Raw genomic sequence first — 20,557 nt, forward strand, 5'->3', positions numbered from 1 at the left:
TTCCCATTCTGTGAGTGGACATTTCAGAGCTCATTGAAACCAATGGCAAAAAAGGGAATACCCCAGGAAAAATACTAGAAGGAAGCTATCGGAGAAACTGCTCAATAAAATGTGCCATCACACTGCAGAGTTAAACCTTTTTTTAATTTAGTGGTTTGGAAACACTGTTTTTGTAGAATCTGCAAAAGGGTATTTGGGAGCATATTGAGGCCTTTGCTGAAAAAGGAAATATTTTCAGATTAAAACTAGAAAGAAGCTATGAGAAAATGCTTTGTGAGCTGTGCATTCATCTCACAGGGTTAAACCTTTCTTTAGATTCAGCAGTTTGGAAATACTGTTTTGTCCATACTATAAATGGACATTTGGGAGCTCATTGAGGCCAATGTTGAAAAAGTGAATATCCAAGGATAAAAACTAGAAGGAAGCAACCTGAGAAACCATTTTGTGATGTGTGCATTCACTTCACAGAGTTAAAACCTGCTTTTCATTCAGCAGTTTGGAAAGACTGTTTTTGTAGAATCTGTGAAGGGATATTTGGCAGTGCATTGAGGCCTATAGTGAAAAAGGAAATATTGTCACATAAAAACTAGAAAGAAGCTTTCTGAGAAACTGCTTTGTGATGTGTACCTTCGTGTCACAGAGTTAAACGTTTATTTTCGTTCAGCAGATTGGAAACAATGTTTATTTCCATTCTGCAAATGGCCATTTTGGAGCTCTTTGTGGCCAATGGCGAAAAAGCAAATATAGAAGGATATTCACTAGAAGGAAGCTGAGAAAACACTTTGTGATGGGTGCATTCATCTCTCATAATTAAATATTTCTGTTCATTGAGCAGTTTGGAAACACTGTTTTGTGGAATTAGCGAATTGATATTTGAGAGCACATTGAGGTCTATGGTGTTAAAGAAATTATCTTCTGAAAAAAATGGGAAAGAAGCTTTGTGAGAAACTGCTTTGTGATATGTCCATTCATCCCACAGATTTAAACCTTTCTTTAAATTCAGCAGTTTGAAAATACCGTTTTTGTCCATTTTGCAAATGGACATGTTGAGCTCATTGAGGCCAATTGCAAAAGAGCGAATATCCAAGGATAAAAACAAGAAGGAAGCTATATGGGAAACCTTTTTGTGTTGTGTGCATTTGTCTCACTGGCTTAAACATTTCTTTTCATTCAGCAGTAGGGAAACACTGTTTTTGTAGAATCTGTGAAGGGATATTTGGGAGCGCATTGAGGCATATGGTGAAAAGGAAAATATCTTCAGATAAATACTAGAAGGAAGCTATCTGAAAAACCATTTTGTGACGTTTACATTCATCTCACAGAGATCAAACTTTCTTTTAATTGAGCAGTTAGGAAACACTGTTTTTTCCAATGTGCAAATGGACATTTGGGTGATAACTGAGGCCAAAGGTGAAAAAGTGAACATCCCAGGATAAAATGTAGAAGGGAGCTATCTGAGAAGCCATCTTGTGGTGTGTGTATTCATCTTGCAAAGTTTGGGAGCTCATTGAGGCCAATAGCAAAAATGCAAATATCCAAAAAATAACAACTAGAAGGAAGCTATGAGAAACCACTTTTGAATGTGTGTGTTCATCTCACAGTGAAAACTTTCTTTTGATTCAGCAGTTTGAAATCTCGGTTTTTGTCCATTCTGTGAATGGACTTTTCGGAGCTTATTGAGGACTGTGGTGAAAAAGAAGATACCCAGGATAAAATCTAGAAGGAAGCTATCTGAGAAACCACTTTGTGATATGTTCATTCATTTCAGAGAGTTAAACATTTCTTTTCATTCAGCTGTTTGAAACACTGTTTTTGTAGAATCCTCAAAGGGATATATGGGAGTGCATTGAGGCCTACGGTGAAAAAGAAAATATCTTCAGATAAAAACTAGAAAGAAGCTTTCTTAGAAACTGCCTTGTGATGTGTGCATTCCTCCACAGAGTTAAAACTTTCCTCTGATTTAGCAGTTTGGAAACACTCTTTTTGTCCATTCTTTGAATGGACATATGGGAGCTCATTGAGACCAATGGCAAAAAAGCTAATATCTAAGGATAAAAACTAGAAGGAAGCTATGTGAGAAATCACTTTGTGATGTGTGAATTCATCTCACAGTGTGAAATCTTTCTTTTGATTCAGCAGTTTGGAAACACTGTTTTTGTCCATTCTGTGAATGGACTTTTGGGAGCTCATTGAGGCCAATGGTGAAAAAGTGAGTATCAAAGGATAAAAACTAGAAGCAAGCTACCTGAGAATCCACTTTGTGATGTGTGCATTCATCTCACAATGTGAAATCTTTCTTTTGATTCAGCAGTTTGGAAACACTGTTTTTGTCCATTCTGTGAGTGGACTTTTGGGAGCTCATTGAGGCCAAAGGTGAAAAAGTTAATATCAAAGGATAAAAACTAGAAGCAAATTACCTGAGAATCCACTTTGTGATGTGTGCATTTATCTTGCAGAGTAAAACTTTCTTTTGATTCAGCAGTTTGGAAACCCTGTTTTTATCCTTTCTGTGAATGGATACTTGTGAGCTCATTGAAGCCAATGATGAAAAAGTGAAAATTCCAGGATCAAAACTGCAATGAAGCTTTCTGGCAAACTGCTTTTTGATGTGTGCATTCATCCCACAGAGCGAAAACTTTCCTTTGATTCAGCAGTTTGGAAACAATCTTTTTCTCCATTCTGCAAATGGATATTTAAGAGCACATTGAGACTAATGGCAAAAATGCGAATATCCCAGGATAAAAACAAGAAGAAGCTATCTGAGAAACTGCTTTGTGATGTGTGCATAAATCTCACAGAGTTAAAACTTTCTTTTCATGCAGCAGTTTGGAAACACTGTTTTTGTAGAAGCTGCAAAGGGATATTTGGGAACACATTGAGACCTTTGGTGAAAAAGGAAATATCTTCACATAAAAACTAGAAAGAAGCTTTTGAGAAACAGCTTTGTGATGTGTGCATTCACTTCACAGTTTAAAAACTTCCTTTTCATCCAGCTGTTTGGAAACACTGTTATTGCAGTATCGACGAAGTTATATTTGGGAGCCCATTGAGGCCTATGGTGAAATAGAAAACATCTTCAGATAAAAACTAGAAAGAAGCATTCTGAGAAACTGCTTTGGTATTGGTGCATTCATCTCACAGATTTAAAGCATTCTTTTTATTTAGCAGTTTGGAAACACTGTTTTTGTAGAATCTCAGAAGGGATATTTTGGAGCGCCTTGAGGCCTATGGTGAGAAAGGATATATCTTCAGATAAAAACTAGAAAGAAGTTTTCTGAGAAACTGCTTTGTGATGGGTGCATTTAATTCACATAGTTAAAACGTTATTTTGACTCAGCAGTTTGTAAACTCTGTTTTTCTCTATTCTGCAATTGGATATTTGGGAGCTCATTGAGGCCAATAGTGAAAAAGTGAATATTCAAGGATAAAAACTAGAAGGAAACTATCTTAGACACCCCTTGTGATGTGTGGATTCATCTCGTAGAGGTAAACCTTTCTTTTCATTCAGCAGTTTGGAAAGGCTGCTTTGGTAGGATCCGTGAAGGAAAATTTGTGAGCATGTTAAGGCCTGTGGTGAAAAAGAAAATATCTTCAGATAAAAACTAGAATGAAACTTTTTGAGAAACTGCTTTGTGTTGTGTGCATTCATCTCGCAGAGATAAACATTTTCTTTTCATTCAGCCGTTTGGAAACATTGTTTTTGTCCATTTTGTGAGTGGACATTTGTGAGCTCACTGAGGCCAATGGCTAAAAAGTGATTATCCCAGGATTAAAACTAGAAAGAAGCTACCTGAGAAACTGCTTTGTGATGTGTCCATTCATCTCGCAGAGTTAAACATTTCTTTTCATTCAGCAGATTGGAAATGCCGTTTTTGTAGAATCTGCAAAGAGATATTTGGGAGCACATTGAGGCCTATGTTGAAAAAGAAAATATTGTCAGATAAAAACTACAAAGAAGCTATCTGAGAAATTGCTTTGTGATGTGTGCATTCATCTTGCAGAGTTAAACCTTTCTTTTGATTCAGCAGTTTGCAAACACTGTTTTTGTGCATTCTGTGAATGGACATTTTGGAGCTCATTGAGGCAAAATGTGAAAAAGTGAATATCCCTGGAAAAAACTACAAGGCACTATCTGAGAAACTGCTTTGTGATGTGTGTATTCAGCTCATGGAGTTAAATCTTACATTTCATTCAGCAGTTTGGAAACATTGTTTTTGTAGAACATGTGAAGGGTTATTTGCATACTGCATTGAGGCCTATGGTCCAAAAGAAAATATCTTCAGATAAAAACAAGAAAGAAGATTTCTGAGAAACTGCTTTGAGATGTGTGCATTCACCTCACAGAATTAAACTTTTCTTTCAATTCAACAGTTTGGGAACACTGTTTTTGTCCATTCTGAGTACGAATATCTGGGAGCTCATTGAGGCCAATGGCAAAAAATCAAATGTCCCAGGATAAAAACTAAAAGGAAGCTATCTGAGAAACCACCTTGTGATGTTTGCATTCATCTCACAGCGTTAAACCCTTCTTTTTATTCAGCAGTTTGGAAACACTTTTTTTGTAGAATCTGCAAAGGGATGTTTGGGAGCACATTGAGGCCTATGGTGTAAAATAAATTATCTTCAGGTAAAAAATAGAAAGAAGCTCTCTGAGAAACTGTTTGTGATGTGTGCATTTGTCTCACAGAGGTAAACGTTTCTTTTGATTCAGCAGTTTGGTAACACTGTTTATGTCCATTCCTGTGGATGGCCATACAGGAGCTCATTAAGGCCTATGGTGAAACAGTGAATATCTCAGGATAAAAACTAGTTGAGGCTATCTCAGAAATCGCTTTGTGACGTGTGCATTTAGTTTGAGGCATTAAATATTTTTTTTTCTTCAGCAGTTTGGTAACACGGTTTTTGTAGAATCTCCAGATGGACAATTGGGAGCACATTGAGGACAATGGTGAAAAAGAAAATATCCCCAGATAAAGACTACGAGGAAGTTATCTGAGAAACCCTTTTGTGATGTTTGCATTCATCTAGCAGAGTTTAATCTTTCTTTTGATTCAGCAGTTTGGAAACACTGTTTTTGTGCATTCAGCGAATGGACTTTTGGGAGCTCATTGAGGCAAAAGGTGAAAAAATGAATATTCCAGGAAACAACTACAAGGCACTATCTGAGAAACCTCTTTGTGATGTGTGTATTCAGCTCATGGAGTTAAATCATATATTTCATTCAGCAGCTTGGAAACGTTGTTTTTGTAGAATTTGTGAAGTTATACTTGCATAGCTCATTGAGGCCTATGGTGAAAAAGAAAATATCTTCAGATTAAAAACTAGAAAGAAGCTTTCTGAGAAACTGCTTTGAGATATGTGAATTCCTCTCACAGAGTCAAACTTTTCTTTTGATTCAACAGTTTGGAAACACTGTTTATATCCATTCTGTGGATGGCCATATGGGAGCTCACTAAGGCCTATGGTGAAAATTGAATATCCCAGGATAAAAACGAAAAGGAAGCCATCTCAGAAAGTGCTTTGTGATGTGTGCATTCAGCTTGAGGAGTTAAATATTTCTTTTCCTTCAGCAGTTTGGTAACACAGTTTTTGTAGAGTCTCAGAACGGACAACTTGGAGCTCATTGAGGCCAATAGCGAAAAGGGGAATGTTTCAGGATGAAAACTAGAAGTAAGCTATATTAGAAATCTTTTTGTGATGTGTTCATTCATCTCACAGAGGTAAACATTTCTTTTCATTAATCAGGTTGGAAAAACTGTTTTTGTAGCCTCTGCAAAGGTTTATTTGGGAGCACATTGAGGTCTATGTTCAAAAAGAAAATATCTGCAGATAAAAACTAGAAAGAAGCATTCTGAGAAACTGCTTTGTGATGTGTGCATTCACCTGACAGATTTAAACTTTTCCTTTGATTCAGCAGTTTGGAAACACTTTATTTGTCCAATCTGGGAATGCACATTTGGGAGCTCATTGAGGCCAATGGTGAAAGAGTGAATATCCCAAGATAAAAACTAGAAGGAAGCTATCTAAGGAACTGTTTTGTGATGTGTGCATTCATCTTGCAGTGTTAAACCTTTCTTTTGATTCAGCAGTTTAGAAACATGATTTTCGTTTATTCTGCAAATGGACCTTTGGGAGCTCATTGAGGCAAAAGGTGAAAAAGTGAATATCACCAAATAAAACAGAAAGAATGTATATGAGAAACAGCTTTGTGATGTGGACATTTATATCACAGAGTTAAAACTTACTTTTGATTCAGCAATTTGGATACAATATTTTTGTCCATTCTATGAAAAGACATTTGGGAGCTCTTTGACGCCAAAGTCGAAAAAGTGAATATCCCATGAAGAAAATCAGAAAGAAGCTATCTCAGGAACCTCTTTGTGATGTGTGCATTCGTCTTGCAGAGGTCTATCTTTCTTTTCGTTAAGAAGTTTGGAAAAACTGTTTTTGTATGATCTGGTATAAGATATTTGGGAGCAAATTGAGGCCTATGGTGAAAAAGAAACTATCATCAGATAAAAAGTCGAAAAATAGTTTCTGAGGAACTGCTTTGTGTTCTGTGCATTCATCTCACAAAGTTACACCTTTCTTTAGACCTAGCAGTTTGGAAAAACTGATTTTTTCCATTCTGGGAATGGACATTTCAGAGCTCATTCAGGCCAATGACAAAAAATCGAATATCCCAGAATGAAAAGTAGAAGGAAGCTATCTGAGAAACCTTTATGTGATATGTAAACTCATCTCACTGAGTTAAACCTTTCTTTTCATTCCGCAGTTTTGAAACACTATTTTTGTCCATTCTGTGAGTGGACATATGGTTGCTCATTGAGGCCAATGGTGAAAAAGGGAATATCACCAGATAAAAAGTAGAAGGGAGCTATATGAGAAACTGCTTTGTGATGTGTGCATTCATCTGTCTGAGTTAAACTTTTCTTTTCATTCAGCAGTTTTGAAACACTGGTTTTGTAGAATCTGCCAAGGGATATTTGGGAACACCTTGAGGCCTGTGATGAAAAAGAAAATATCTTCAGATAAAAACCAGAAAGAAGCTTTCTGAGAAACTTCTTTGCTGTGTGTGAATGCATCTTACATAGTTAAAACTTTCTTTTGATTGAGTAGTTTGGAAAAACTGTTTCCATCTGGATATTTGGGAGCTCATTTGGCCAATGGCAAAAAAGGAAAAAACCCAGAATAAAAACAAGAGGATGCTATCTGAGAAACTGCTTTGTGACGTGTGCATTCATCTTGCAGAGTTAAACCTTTTCTTTCATTCTGAAGTTTTGAAACTTTGCTTTTTTCCTTTCTGTGAATGGGCATTTAGGAGCTCTTTGAGGTTAATGGCAAAAAAAATGAATATCCCAGGAAGAAACCAGAAAGAAGCTGACAGAGAAAAATCTTTGTGATGCGTGCATTTATCTCGCAGAGATAAACCTTTCTTTTCATAAAGCAGTTTGGAAAAATTGTATTTGTGGAATCTGCAAAGAAATATTTGGGAGCACAGTGCAGCTTATGATGAAAAAGAAAATGTCTTCAGGTAAAAACTAGAAAGAAGCTTTCTGAAAAACTGCTTTGTGATTGTGCATTCATTGCACAGAGTTAAACCTGTTATTGATTTAGCAGTTTGGAAACACTGTTTTTGTCCACTCTATGAATGGATATTTGGGATCTCATTGAGACCAATGGGGAAAAAGCAAATATCCCAGGATAAAAACTGGAAGGAAGCTATCTGAGAAACCATTTTGTGATATGTGCATTCACCGCACAGAGTTAAAACTTTCTTTTGGTTCAGCAGTTTGGAAACACTGTTTTTGTCAATTCTGTCAGTGGACTTTTGGGAGCTCATTGAGGCCAATGGCAATAAGGTGAATATCATAGTATAAAAACAGAAGGAAGCTATCTGAGGAAGCTATAAAAGCAGAAGGAAGCTCTTTGTGATGTGTGCATTCAGCTTGAGGATGTAAATCTTATTTTTCTTTCAGCAGTTTGGAAACACTGTTTTTGTAGAATCTACAAATGGACATTTGGGAGTGAACTGAGGCCTATGGTTGAAAAGAAATCATCTTCAAATAGAAACTATAAAAAATCTTTTTGAAAAACTGCTTTGTGATGTTTGCATTCGTCTCACAGGGTTAAACCATTCTTTTGTTTCAGCAGCTTTTAAACACTGTTTTTGTCCATTCTGTGAATGGACATTTGGGAGCTATTTGAGGTCAAAGGTGAGAAGAAAATATCCCAGGATAAAAATTAGAAGGAAGCTCTATGAGAAACTGCTTTGTGATGTGTGCATTTGTCTCAGAGAGTTAAAATTTTCTTTTGATTCAGTGGTTTGGAAACACTGTTTTTGTCTTTTCTGCAAACGGCCTTTAGGGAGCTCATTGAGGCCAATGGCAAAAAAGCAAATAACCTAGAATAAAAACAGAAAGAAGCTATCTGTGAAACTGCTTTGTGATGTGTGCATTCATCTAGCAGAGTTAAACCTGTCCTTTCACTCAGCAGTTTTGAAACACTGTTTAATTTCCATTCTGCAAATGGACATGTGGGAGCTCACTGAGGCCAATTGCGAAGAAACGAATATCCCAGGAAGAAAATGAGAAGGAAGCTATCTGAGAAACCCATATGATGTGTGCATTCATCTTGTTGAGGTAAAACTTTCTTTTCATTAAGCAATTTGGAAAAATTGTTTTTGTAGCATCTGCAAATAAATATTTGGGAGCACATTGTGGCCTATGGTGAAAAAGAAAATATCTTCAGATAAAAATAGAAAGAAACTTTCTGAGAAATTACTTTGTGATGTGTGCATTCATCTCACAGACTTAAAACTTTCTTTTGATTCAGAAGTTTGGAAACACTGTTTTTTTCCATTCTGCAAATGGAAATTTGGGAGCTCATTGAGGCCAATGGCGAAAAAGAAAATATTTCAGGATGAAAACTAGAAGAAAGCTATATTAGAAAACTTTTTATGATGTGTTCATTCATCTCAAAGAGGTAAACCTTCCTTTTCATTAAGCAGTTTGGAAAAACTCTTTTTTTAGCATCTGTGAAGGGTTATTTCAGAGTGCATTGAGGCCTATGTTCAAATAGAAAATATCTGTAGATAAAAACTAGAAAAAATGCTTTCTGAGAAACTGCTCTGTGATGTGTGCATTCATCTCACAGAGTTAAACTTTATTTTGATTCAGCAGTTTGGAAACACTTTATTTGTCCATTCTGGAAATGCACATTTCAGAGCTCTTTGAGGACAATGGTGAAAAATTGAATGTCACAGGATATAAACTCAGAGGAAACTATCTGAGAAACTGCTTTGTTATGTGCACATTCATCTAGCAAGTGAAACCTTTCTTTACATTCAGCAGCTTGGAAACACTGTTTCTGTAGAATCTGTGAAGGGATATTTGGGAGTGCTTTGAGGCCTATTTTGAAAAAGAAAATATCTTCAGATAAAAATGAGAAAGTAGCTTTCTGAGAAACTGCTTTGTGATGTGTGCATTCATCTCAGACATTTAAACCTTTCTTTGAATTCAAAAGTTTAGAAACACTGCTTTTGTCCATTCTCTGAATGGACATTTGGGAGCTCTTTGAGGCCAATGGCAAAAAATCAAATTGTCCCAGGATAAAAACTAAGAGGAAACTATCTGAGAAACTCCTTTGTGATGATGTGTTTCATCTCACAGAGTTAAACCTTTCTTTTGATTCAGCAGTTTGGAAACGCTTTATTTGTCCATTCTTGGAATGCACATTTGGGAGCTCATTGAGGCAAAAGGCGAAAAATTGAATGTCACAGGATATAAACTCAGAGGAAGCTATCTGAGAAACTGCCTTGTGATGTGCACATTCATCTCGCAGAGTTAAAACTTTCTTTTCATTCAGCAGTTTGGAAACACTCTTTTTGTAGAATCTGTGAAGGTATATTTGGGAGCACATTGAGACCTATGATGAAAAAGAAAATATCTTCAGATAAGAAATAGAAGCTTTCTGATAAACTGCTTTGTGTTGTATGAATTCACCTCACAAAGTTACACCTTTCTTTTAATTCAGCTGTTTGGAAACACTGTATTTTTTATTCTTCGACTGGATATTTGGGAGACCTTTAAGCCCAATGATGAAAAATTGAATGTCCTAGGATAAAAACTAAGAGGAATCTATCTGAGAAACTGCTTTGTGATGTGTGTTTTCATCTCGCTGAGTTAAAACTTTGTTTTGATTCAACAGTTTGGAAACACTTTATTTGTCCATTCTTGGAATGCACATTTGGGAGCTCACTGAGGCAAATGGCAAAAAATTGAATATCACAGGATATAAACTCAGAGGAAGCTATCTGAGAAACTGCCTTGTGATGTGCTCATTCATCTCACAGAGTTAAACCTTTCTTTTCATTCAGCAGTTTGGAAACACTCTTTTTGTAGAATCTGTGAAGGTATATTTGGGAGCACATTGAGGCCTATGATGGAAAAGAAAATACCTTCAGATGAAAAATAGAAAGAAGCTTTCTGAGAAACTGCTTTATGTTGTATGCATTCATCTCACAAAGTTACACCTTTCTTTTAATTCAGCTGTTTGGAAACACTGTTTTTGTTTATTTTGCAATTGGACATTTCGGAGTCCTTTAAGCCCAATGATGAAAAATTCAATGTCCCAGGATGAAAAGAAGAAGGAAGCTATCTGAGAAAACTTTTTGTGAAATGTGCATTCAACTCGCAGAGTTAAAACTTTCTTTTCATTTAGCAGCTTGGAAAAACTGTTTTTGTCCATTCTGTGGTGGACATATAGGAGCTCATTGAGGCAAATGGCAAAAAAGCAAATATCACCGGATAAAAACTAGAAGGAAACTATCTGAGATACCGCTCTGTTATGTGTGCATTCATATCACATAGTTAATCCTTTTTTTTGTTCAGTAGTTTGGAAACACTGTTTTTGTCTGGACATTTGGGAGCTCATTGAGGCCAATGGTGAAAAAGTGAATATGCCAGGATAAAAACTAGATGGAAGCTATCTCAGAAACATTTTTCTGATGTGTGTATTCATCTCACAGAGTTAAAAGTTTCTTTTGCTTCAACAGTTTGGAAACACTGTTTATGTAGAATATGTGAAGGGATCTTCAGATAAAAACCAGAAAGAAGCTTTCTGAGAAAGTGCTTTGTGATGTCTGCATTCACCTTACAGAATTAAACCTTTCTTTTGATTCAACAGTTTAGAAACACTGTTTTTGTCCATTCTCTGAACGGACATTTTGGTGTTCATTAAGGACAATGGCAAAAAATGGAATGTCCCAGGATAAACACTAAGAGGAATCTATCTGAGAAACCAGAATCTGCAAAGGGATATTTGGGTGCACATTGAGAACTGGGGTGAAAATATAATACCTTCAGATAAAAACTAGAAAGAAGCTTTCTGAGAAACTTCTTTGTGATATGTGCATTCATCTCATAGAGTTAAATGTTTCTTTTGAGTCAGAAGTTTGGAAACGCTGTTTTTGTCCATGCTGTGAATGAACATTTTGGTGTTCATTAAGGACAATGGCAAAAAATGGAATGCCCCAGGATAAACACTAAGAGGAATCTGTCTGAGAAACCACTTTGTGATGTGTGCATTCATCTCACAGAGTTAAATCTTTCTATTCATTCTGCAGTTCCAAAACACTTTTTTTGTAGAATCTATGAATGGACATTAGGAAGGGAATTGAGGCTTATGGTTGAAAAGAAAATATCTTCAGATGGAAACAAAAAAAATCTTTTTGAAAAACTGCTTTGTGATGTGTGCATTCATCTCTCAGGGTTAAACCATTCTTTTGATTTAGTGTTTTTAAACTTTGTTTTTGCCCATTATGCAAATGGACATTTGGGAGTTCATTGAGGTCAATGGCAAAGAAGAGAATATCCCAGGATAAAAACTAGAAGGAAGCACTATGAGAAACCTCTTTCTGATGTGTGCATTTGTCTCAGAGAGTTAAAACTTTCTTGTGATTCAGCAGTTTGGAAACACTGTTTTTGTCTTTTCTGCAAATGGACATTTTGCTGCTCTTTCAAGCCAATAGTGAAAAAGGGAATGTCCCAGGATAAAAACTTAGAGGAAGCTATCTGAGAAAACAGTTTGGGTGCTTGCATTCGTCTCACAGACTTAAATCTTTCTTTTCATTCAGCAGTTTGGAAACACTGTTTTTGTCAATTTTTCAAATGGACTTAAGGGAGCTCATGGGGGCCAATTGCAAAAAAAAGCAAATAACCCAGAACAAAAACAGAAGGAAGCACTCTGTGAAGCTGCTTTGTGATGTGTGCATTCATCTAGCAGAGTTAAATCTTTCCTTTCCTTCAACAGTTTTGAAAACTGCTTTTTTCTTCCATTCTGAATGGACATTTGAGAACTCATTGAGGCCAATGTCGAAAAAGGGACTATCCCAGGAAGAAGATGAGACTGAACTTACTTGAGAAACCTCTTTGTGATGTATGCATTCATCTCACTGAGGTAAACCTTTCTTTTCATTAAGCAATTTGGAAAAACTCTTTTTGTAGCATCTGCAAAGAAATATTCGGGAGCACATTGAGGCCTATGATTAAAAACAAAATACCTTCATATAAAAATTAGAAAGAGTCTTTCTGAGAAACTGCTTTGTGACATATGCACTCATCTCACAGAGTTAAAAGTTTCTTTTGATTCTGCAATTTGGAAACTATTTTTGTCCATTCTGTGAATGGACATTTGGGAGCTCAGTGAGGCCAATGGCAAGAAATCGAACATCCCAGGATGAATACTATGTGGAAGCTCTCTGAGAAACTGCTTTGTAATGTATGCATTAATCTCACAGAGTTAAACATTTCCTTTCATTCAGCAGTTTTGAGACACTGTTTTTTTTCATCCTGCAAATGGACATTTGGGAGCTCATTGAGGTCAATGACAAAAAAGCAAACATACAAGGATAAAAACTACAAGGAAGCTATCTGAGAAACTGCTTTTGATGTGTGCACTCATTTTGCCAAGTTAAAACTCTCTTTTTATTCAGCAGTTTGCAAAAACTGTTTTTGAAGAATCTGCAAAGGGATATTTGGGATCTCATTGAGGCCTATGGTGAAAAAGGAAATATCTTCAGATAAATCTAGAAAGAAGCTTTCTGAGAGACTGCTTTGTGATGTGTGCATTAATCTCACGAGTTAAATATTTGTGTTCATTCCGCTGTTTAGAAACACTGTTTTTGTCCATTCTGTGAATGGACATTTTGGAGCTCTTTGATGCCAATGGCAAAAAAGGGGATATCCCAGAATAAAAACAGAAGGAAACTGTCTTAGAAACCACTTTGTGATGTGTGCATTCATCTAACAGATTTAAACTTTCTTTTGATTCATCAATTTGGAAACACTGCTTTTGTCCATTCTGCAAAAGGGCATTTGGGACCTCGCTGATGCCAATGGTGAAATACCAAATATTCCAGAATGAAAACAGAAGGAAGCTATCTGGTAAACCTGTTTGTGATGTGTGCATTCAGCTCGAGGAGTTATATCTTTCTTTTTATTCAGCAGTTTGGAAAAGCTGTTTTCGTAGAATCTGAGAATGGACAGTTGGGAGCGCATTGAGGCCTATAGTGAAAAAGAAAATATTTTCAGATAAAAACTAGAAAGAGGATTTCTGAGAAACTGCTTTGTGAAGCAAGCATTCACCTCACTGAGATAAACCTTTTTTTGATTCATCAGTTTGAAAAACACTGTTTTTGTCCACTCTGTGAATGGACATTTGAGAGCTTATTGAGGCCAATGGTGAAAAAGCGAACATCCCAGCATAAACAATAAGTGGAATCTATCTGAGAAACCGTTTTGTGATGTGTGCTTTCATCTCAGAGAGACAAAAACCTTCTCTTGATTCAGCAGTTTGGAAACACTGTTTTTTCCATTCTACACATCTACATTTGGAAGCTCATTGAGGCCGAAGGTGAAAAAGAGGATATCCCACGATACAAAGAGACGGAAGCAATCTAAGAAACCACTTTGTGATGTGTTCATTCACCTCGAGGAGTAAAATCTTTCTTTTCATTCAGCTGTTTGGAAACACTGATTTCTAAAATCTGCAAATGGAAATTTGTGGTGCATTGAGGCCTAAGGTAGATATCATCAGATAAAAACTAGAAAGACGTTTTCTGAGAAACTGCTTTGTGATGTGTGCTTTCATCTCACAGAGTTAAACCTTTCTTTTGTTTCAGAAGTTAGGAAACACTGTTTTAGTCCATTCTGTGAATGGATATTTGGGAGCTAATCAAGGCCAATGACAAAAAAGTGAATATCCCATGACAAAAACTAGAAAGAAGCAATCTGAGAAAATGCTTTGTGATGTGGGCATTCATCTCTTAGAATTAAACCTTCCTTTTCATTCAGCAGTTTGTAAACACTTTTTCTGTTCATTCGATGAATGGACATTTTGAAGCTCATTGTGGCCAATGGCCAAAAATCAAATGTACAAGGATGAAAACTGAGAGGAAGCTATCTGAGAAACATCTATGTCATGTGAGCATTCATCTCAAGGAATTAAATCTTTCTTTTCATTCAGCAGTTTGGAAACCATTTTTTTGTAGATCTGCAAATGGACATTTGGGAGCTCACTGAGGCCAAGGGTGAAAAATTGAATGTCCCAAGATAAAAACTAAGAGGAAGCTATCTGAGAAATATCTTTGTGATGTGTGAATTCATCTCACAGTTATGCCTTTCTTTTCCTTCAACAGTTTGCAAGCAATATTTTTTTAAAAATCTGTGAATGGATATTGGGGAGTGCATTGAAACCTATGATGAAAAAGAAAATATCTTCAGATGAAAACTAGAAATAAGCTATCTGAGAAACAGCTTGTGATGTATGCATTCATCTCAGAGAGTTAAATCTTTATGTTGATTCAGCAGTTTGGAAACACTGTTTTTGTCCATTCTGTGATTGGACATTTTGGAGCTCATTGAGGCCAATGGGGAAAAGCAAATGTAGCATGATAAAACCTAGAAGGAAATTATCTTAAAAAAACTGCTTAGTGATGTGTGTATTCATCTTGCAGAGTTACTCCTTTCTTTCATCGATCAGTTTGGAAACACCATTTTTGTAGAATCTATGAGGGAATATTTGGAGCACAATGAGGCCTATGGTGAAAAATAAAATATCTTCAGTTAAAAACTAGAAAGAAGCTTTCTGAGAAACTGCTTTGTGGTGTTTGCATTCATCTCACAGATGAAAACTTTCTTTTAATTCAGGAGTTTGGAAACAATGTTTTTTTCCATCCTGAAAATGGACATTTGGGAGCTGTTTGAGGTCAATCAGGAAAAAGTGAATATCCCAGGATAAAAACTGGAAAGAAGCTATCTGAGAAACTGCTTTGTGATGTGTGCATTCATCTCACACAGTTAAACCTTTATTTTGATTCAGCAGCTTGGAAACACTGTTTTTGTCCATTCTGCAAATGGATATTTGAGATCTAATTTAGGCCAATGAGGAAAAGCGAATATCCCAGGATAAAAAACAGAAGGAAACTATCTGGGGAACTACTTTGTGATGGGAGCATTCATCTCCCAGAGTTAAAACTATTTTTCATTCAGCAGTTTGAAAATACTGTTTTTGTAGAAACTGTGAAGGGATATTTGGGAGTGCATTGAGGCCTATGGTGATAAACAAAATATCTTCAAATAAAAACTAGAAAGAAGCTCTCTGAGAAACTGCTTTGTGATGTGTGCATTTTTCTCACACAGTTAAAACTTTCTTTTTATTAAGCATTTTGGAAACATTGTTTTTGTCCATTCTGAGAATGGACATTTTGAAGCTCATTGAAGCCAATGGCAAAAAAACAAGTGTCCCAGGAAAAAAACTAAGTGGAAGCTATCTCAGCAGCCACTGTGTTATGTTTGTATTCAACTCACAGAATTAAAACTTTCTTTTCATTCAGCTCTTGTGGAACACTGTTTTTGTCCAATCTGCAAGTGAACATTTGGGTGCTCATTGAGGCCAGTGGAGAAAAACAGAATATCCCAATATAAAAACTAGAGGGAAGCTATCTGAGAAACCATTCTGTGATGTGTGCATTGATCTCACAGAATAAATTTTACTTTTGATTCAGCAGTTTGGAAACACTGTATTTGTCCATTCTGTGAATGGACATTTTGGAGCTCATTGAAGCCAAAGGCAAAAAAGCAATTATCCCAGGATAAATACTGGAAGGAAATTATTTGAGAAACAGATTTGTGATGTTTGCATTAAGGTTGAGGAGTTTAATCTTTCTTTTTATTCTGCTTTTCAACTGTGCTTTTGGAAGAACTGTTTTGTAGAATATGCAAATGGACATTTGGAAGCTCAATGAGGCATATGTACAAAAAGAAAATAACTTCAGATAAAAACTAGGAAGAATCTTTCTTAGAAACTGTTTTGTGGTGTGTCATCCATCTCACAGAGTTAAACCTTTGTTTGATTCAGCATTTTAAAACAATTTTTTCGTCCATTCTCCGAATGGACATTTGGTAGATAATGGAGGCCAAAGGCAAAAAAACGAATATCCCATTACAAAAACTATCAAGAAGCTCTCTAAGAAACTGCTTTCTGATGAGTGCACTCATCTCAAAGAGCTAAAACTTTCTTCTTTCAGCAGTTTGGAACCACTGTTTTGTAGAATCTGTGAAGGGATATTTGGGAGTACATTGAGGCCTATGGTGAAAAAGAAAATATCTTCAGATAAAAACTAGAAAAAAGATGTCTGAGAAACTGCTTTGTGATGTGTGCATTGATCTCACATAGCTAAACCTTTCTTTTGATTCAGCAGTTTGGAAACAATGTTTTTGTTCATTCTGTGAATGGACATTTGGGAGCGCAATGAAGCCAATGGCCAAAAATCGAATGTCCCTGGATAAACATTAGGAGGAAGCTATCTGGGAAACTGCTTTGGGATGTGTGCATTCAGCTTGCAGAGTTAAACCTTTCTTTTCATTCAGCAGTTTGGAAACACTGTTTTTCTCCATTCTGTGAATGAACAATTGGAGTGCATTTAGGCCAATGGAGAAAAAGTGAACATCCCAGGATAAAAACTAGAAAGAAGTTATCTGAGAAACTGCTTAATGATGTGTGCATTCATCTCGCAGAGTTAAACTTTTCTTTTCTTTCAGCAGTTTGAGAACACCATTGTTGTCCATTCTGCCAATGGACTTTAGGGAGCTCGTTGAGGCCAAAGGCAAAAAACGTGCATATGCCGGGATAAAAACTAGGAGGAAGCTATCTGAGAAACTGCTCTGTGATGTCTGCATTTATCTCACAGAGTTAAACCTTTCTTTTCATTCAGCAGTTTGGAAACAATTTTTTAATAGAATCTGCCAACAGATATTAGGTAGTGCATTGAGGCATATGGTGAAAGAGACAATATCTTCAGATAAAAACCAGAAATAATTTTCTGAGAAACTGCTTTGTGATATGTGCATTCATTTCACAGAAATAAACCTTTCTTTTGATTCAGTAATTTGGAAACACTGTTTTTGTCTATTCTACAAATGCACATTTTGGAGATCTTTGAGGCCAGTTGTGAAAAACTGGATATCCCCAATAAAAACTAGAAGGAAGCTATCTGTGAAACCAATTTGTGATGTGTGCATTCAGCTTGCAGAGTTAAAGCATTCTTTTCATTCAGCATTTTGGAAGCACTCTTTTTGTAGAACCTGTGGAAGGATATTTGGGAGCATAATGAGGTTATGGTGAAAAAGAAAATATCTTCAAATTGAAAACTAACAGAAGCTTTCTGAGATACTGTTTTGTGATGTGTGCATTCATCTCAAAGAGTTAAACCTTTATTTTGTTTCAGCAGTTTGGAAATACTGTTTTTGCCCATTCTGCGAATGGACATTTGGGATCTCATTGAGGCCAATGGCGAAAAAGTGAATATCCCAGGATAAAAACTAGAAGGAAGCTATCTGAGAAACCTCTTTGTGATGTGTGCATTCATCTTGCAGGGTTAAAACTTCTTTTCATTTAGCAGTTCAGAAACACTTTTTTTGTAGAATATGAAAAGGGATATTTGGAAGTGTGTTCAGGACCATGGTGAAAAAGGAAATATCCTCAGATAAAAACTAGAAAGAAGCTTTCTGAGAAACTGCTTTGTCATGTGTACATTCCTCTGGCACAGTTAAACCTCTGTTTTCATACAGCAGTGTAAACACTGTCTTTTTCAATTCTGCAAATTGACATTTGTGAGCTCATTGAGGCCCATGAGGAAAATGCGAATATCCCTGGATAAAAACTAGAAGGAAGCTATCTGAGGATCTGCTTTGTGATGGGTGCATTCATCTCACAGAGTTAAAACTTTCTTTCAATTCAACAGTTTTGAATCAATGTTTTTGTCTATTCTGTCAATGGACATTTTGAGCTTATTGAGGACAATGGTGAAAAAGTAAACGTCCCAGGATAAAAACTAGTAGGAAGGTATCAGAGAAACCACTTTGTGATGTGGGCAATCATCTCTCATAGACAAAGTTTTCTTTGAATTCAACTGTTTGGAAACACTGTTTTGTAGAATCTGTCAAGTGATATTTAGGAGTGCATTGATGTCTATGGTGAAAAATAAAGTAACTTCAGATAAAACCTAGAAGGAATCTATCTGAGAAACCACTTTGTAATGTGTGCATTCATCTCGTAGAGTTAAACTTTCCTTTTTAGCCAGAAGTTTGAAAACACTCTTTTTGTAAAATCTGCAAAGGGATAATTCGGAGTGCATTGAGGCCTTTGGTGAAAAATAAAATATCTCGAGATAAAAAAAAGAAAGAAGCTTTCTGAGAAAGTGCTTTGTGATGTTTGCATTCGTCTCACAAGGTTAAACTTTTCTTCTGATTCAGGTGTTTGGAAACTCTGTTTTTGTCCATTCTGCAAAAGTACATTTGGGAGCTCACTGAGGCCAAAAGGGAAAAAGCAAATATCCCAGGATAAAAACTAGAAGGAAGCTATCTGAGAAACTGCTTTGTGATGTGAGCCTTTGCCTCACAGAGATAAACTTTTCTTTTCATTTAGCAGTTTGGAAACACTTTTTTTAAGAATCTGTGAAGGGAAATTTGGGAGCGTGTTAAGGCTTATGGTGAAAAAGGAAATATCTTTAGATAAAAACTAGAAAGAAGGTTTCTGAGAAGCTGCGTTATGATGTGTGCTTTCATCTCACAGAGCTAAACCTTTCTTTTGATTCTGCATTTTTGAAACACTGTTTTGGTCCATTCTGCGAAAGGACATTTAGGATCTCATTGATGCCAATGGCAAAAAGTGAATATCCCACGATAAAAACTAGAAGTAATCTATCTGAGAAACCGCTTTGTGATGTGTGCGTTCATCTAACAGAGTTAACACTTTCTTTTCATACAGCAGTTTGTAAACACTATTTTTGTCCATTCTGTGAATGGACATTTAGGAGCTCAATGAAGACAAGGCAAAAAAGTGAATATCCCAGGACAAAAACTAGAAGGAAGCTATCTGACAAACAACTTTGTGACGCATGCATTCATCTCATAGAGATAAGCCTTTCTTTACATTCAGCAGTTCGGAAACACTGTTTTTGTAGGATCTGTGAAGGGATATTTGGGAGCATATTGAAGCCTATGGTGAAAAAGAAAATATCTTCAGATAAAAAGTAGAAAGAAGCTTTCTGAGAAACAGTCTTATGATGTGTGTATTCATCTCACAGAGTTAAACATTTATTTTCATTCAGCAGTTTGGAAAAACTGTTTTGTCCATTCTGCAAAAGCACATTTTTGAGCTCATCTAGGCCAATGGTGAAAAAGCGAATATCCCAGGATAAAAACTAGAAGAAAGATATCTGAGAAACCGCTTTGTGATGTGTTCACTCATCTCATAGAGTTAAACCTTTCTTTTCATTCAGCAAGTTGGAGACACTGTTTCTATCCATTATGCAAATGGAGATTTGGGAGCTCATTTAGGCCAAAGGCAAAAAGCTGTTATACCAGGATAAAAACTTGAAGGAATCTATCTGAGAAACTGCCTTGTGATATTTGCATTCATCTCACAGAGTTAAATTTTTTTTTTGATTCAGCAGTTTGGAAACACTGTTTTTGTCCATTCTATGAATGGACATTTGGGAGCTCATTGAGGCCAATGGTGAAAAAGCAAATATCCCAGTATAAAATCTAGAAGGAAGCTATCTGAGAAACTGCCTTGGGATGTGTGCATTCTTTTGGCAGATTTAAATCCTTATTTTGATTCAGCAGTTTGGAAAAACTGCTTTTGTCCTTTCTGTGCATGGACATTTGGGACCTCATTCAGGCCAATGGCAAAAAAGCAAATATCGCAGGACAAAAACTAGAATGAAGCTGTGTGAGAAACCACTTTGTGCTTTATGATGTGTGCATTCACCTCGCAGAGTGAAACCCTCCTTTTCATTCAGAAGTTTGGAAACACTGTTTTTGTAGAATCTCTCAATTGATATTTGTGAGTGCATTGAGGCCTATGATGAAAACAAAATATCTTCAGATAAAAACTAGAAAGAAGATTTCTGAGAAACTACTTTGTGATGTGTGCATTCATCTCACAGAGTTTAACCTTTCTTTTTATTAAGTAGTTTGGAAACACTGTTTTT

General features: G+C 36.2%; 1 pseudogene; it reads right to left on the reverse strand.

Moving 5' to 3' along the window:
- The window catches only part of LOC102723945 (sodium/hydrogen exchanger 9B1-like), a 278,678-nt pseudogene that overhangs the window by 171,512 nt on the left and 86,609 nt on the right, over nucleotides 1-20,557 (reverse strand).

The sequence above is a fragment of the Homo sapiens genome (genome assembly GCF_000001405.40).
Source record: "Homo sapiens chromosome 16 unlocalized genomic scaffold, GRCh38.p14 Primary Assembly HSCHR16_RANDOM_CTG1".
In the NCBI taxonomy this organism is placed as follows: Eukaryota; Metazoa; Chordata; class Mammalia; order Primates; family Hominidae; genus Homo; species Homo sapiens.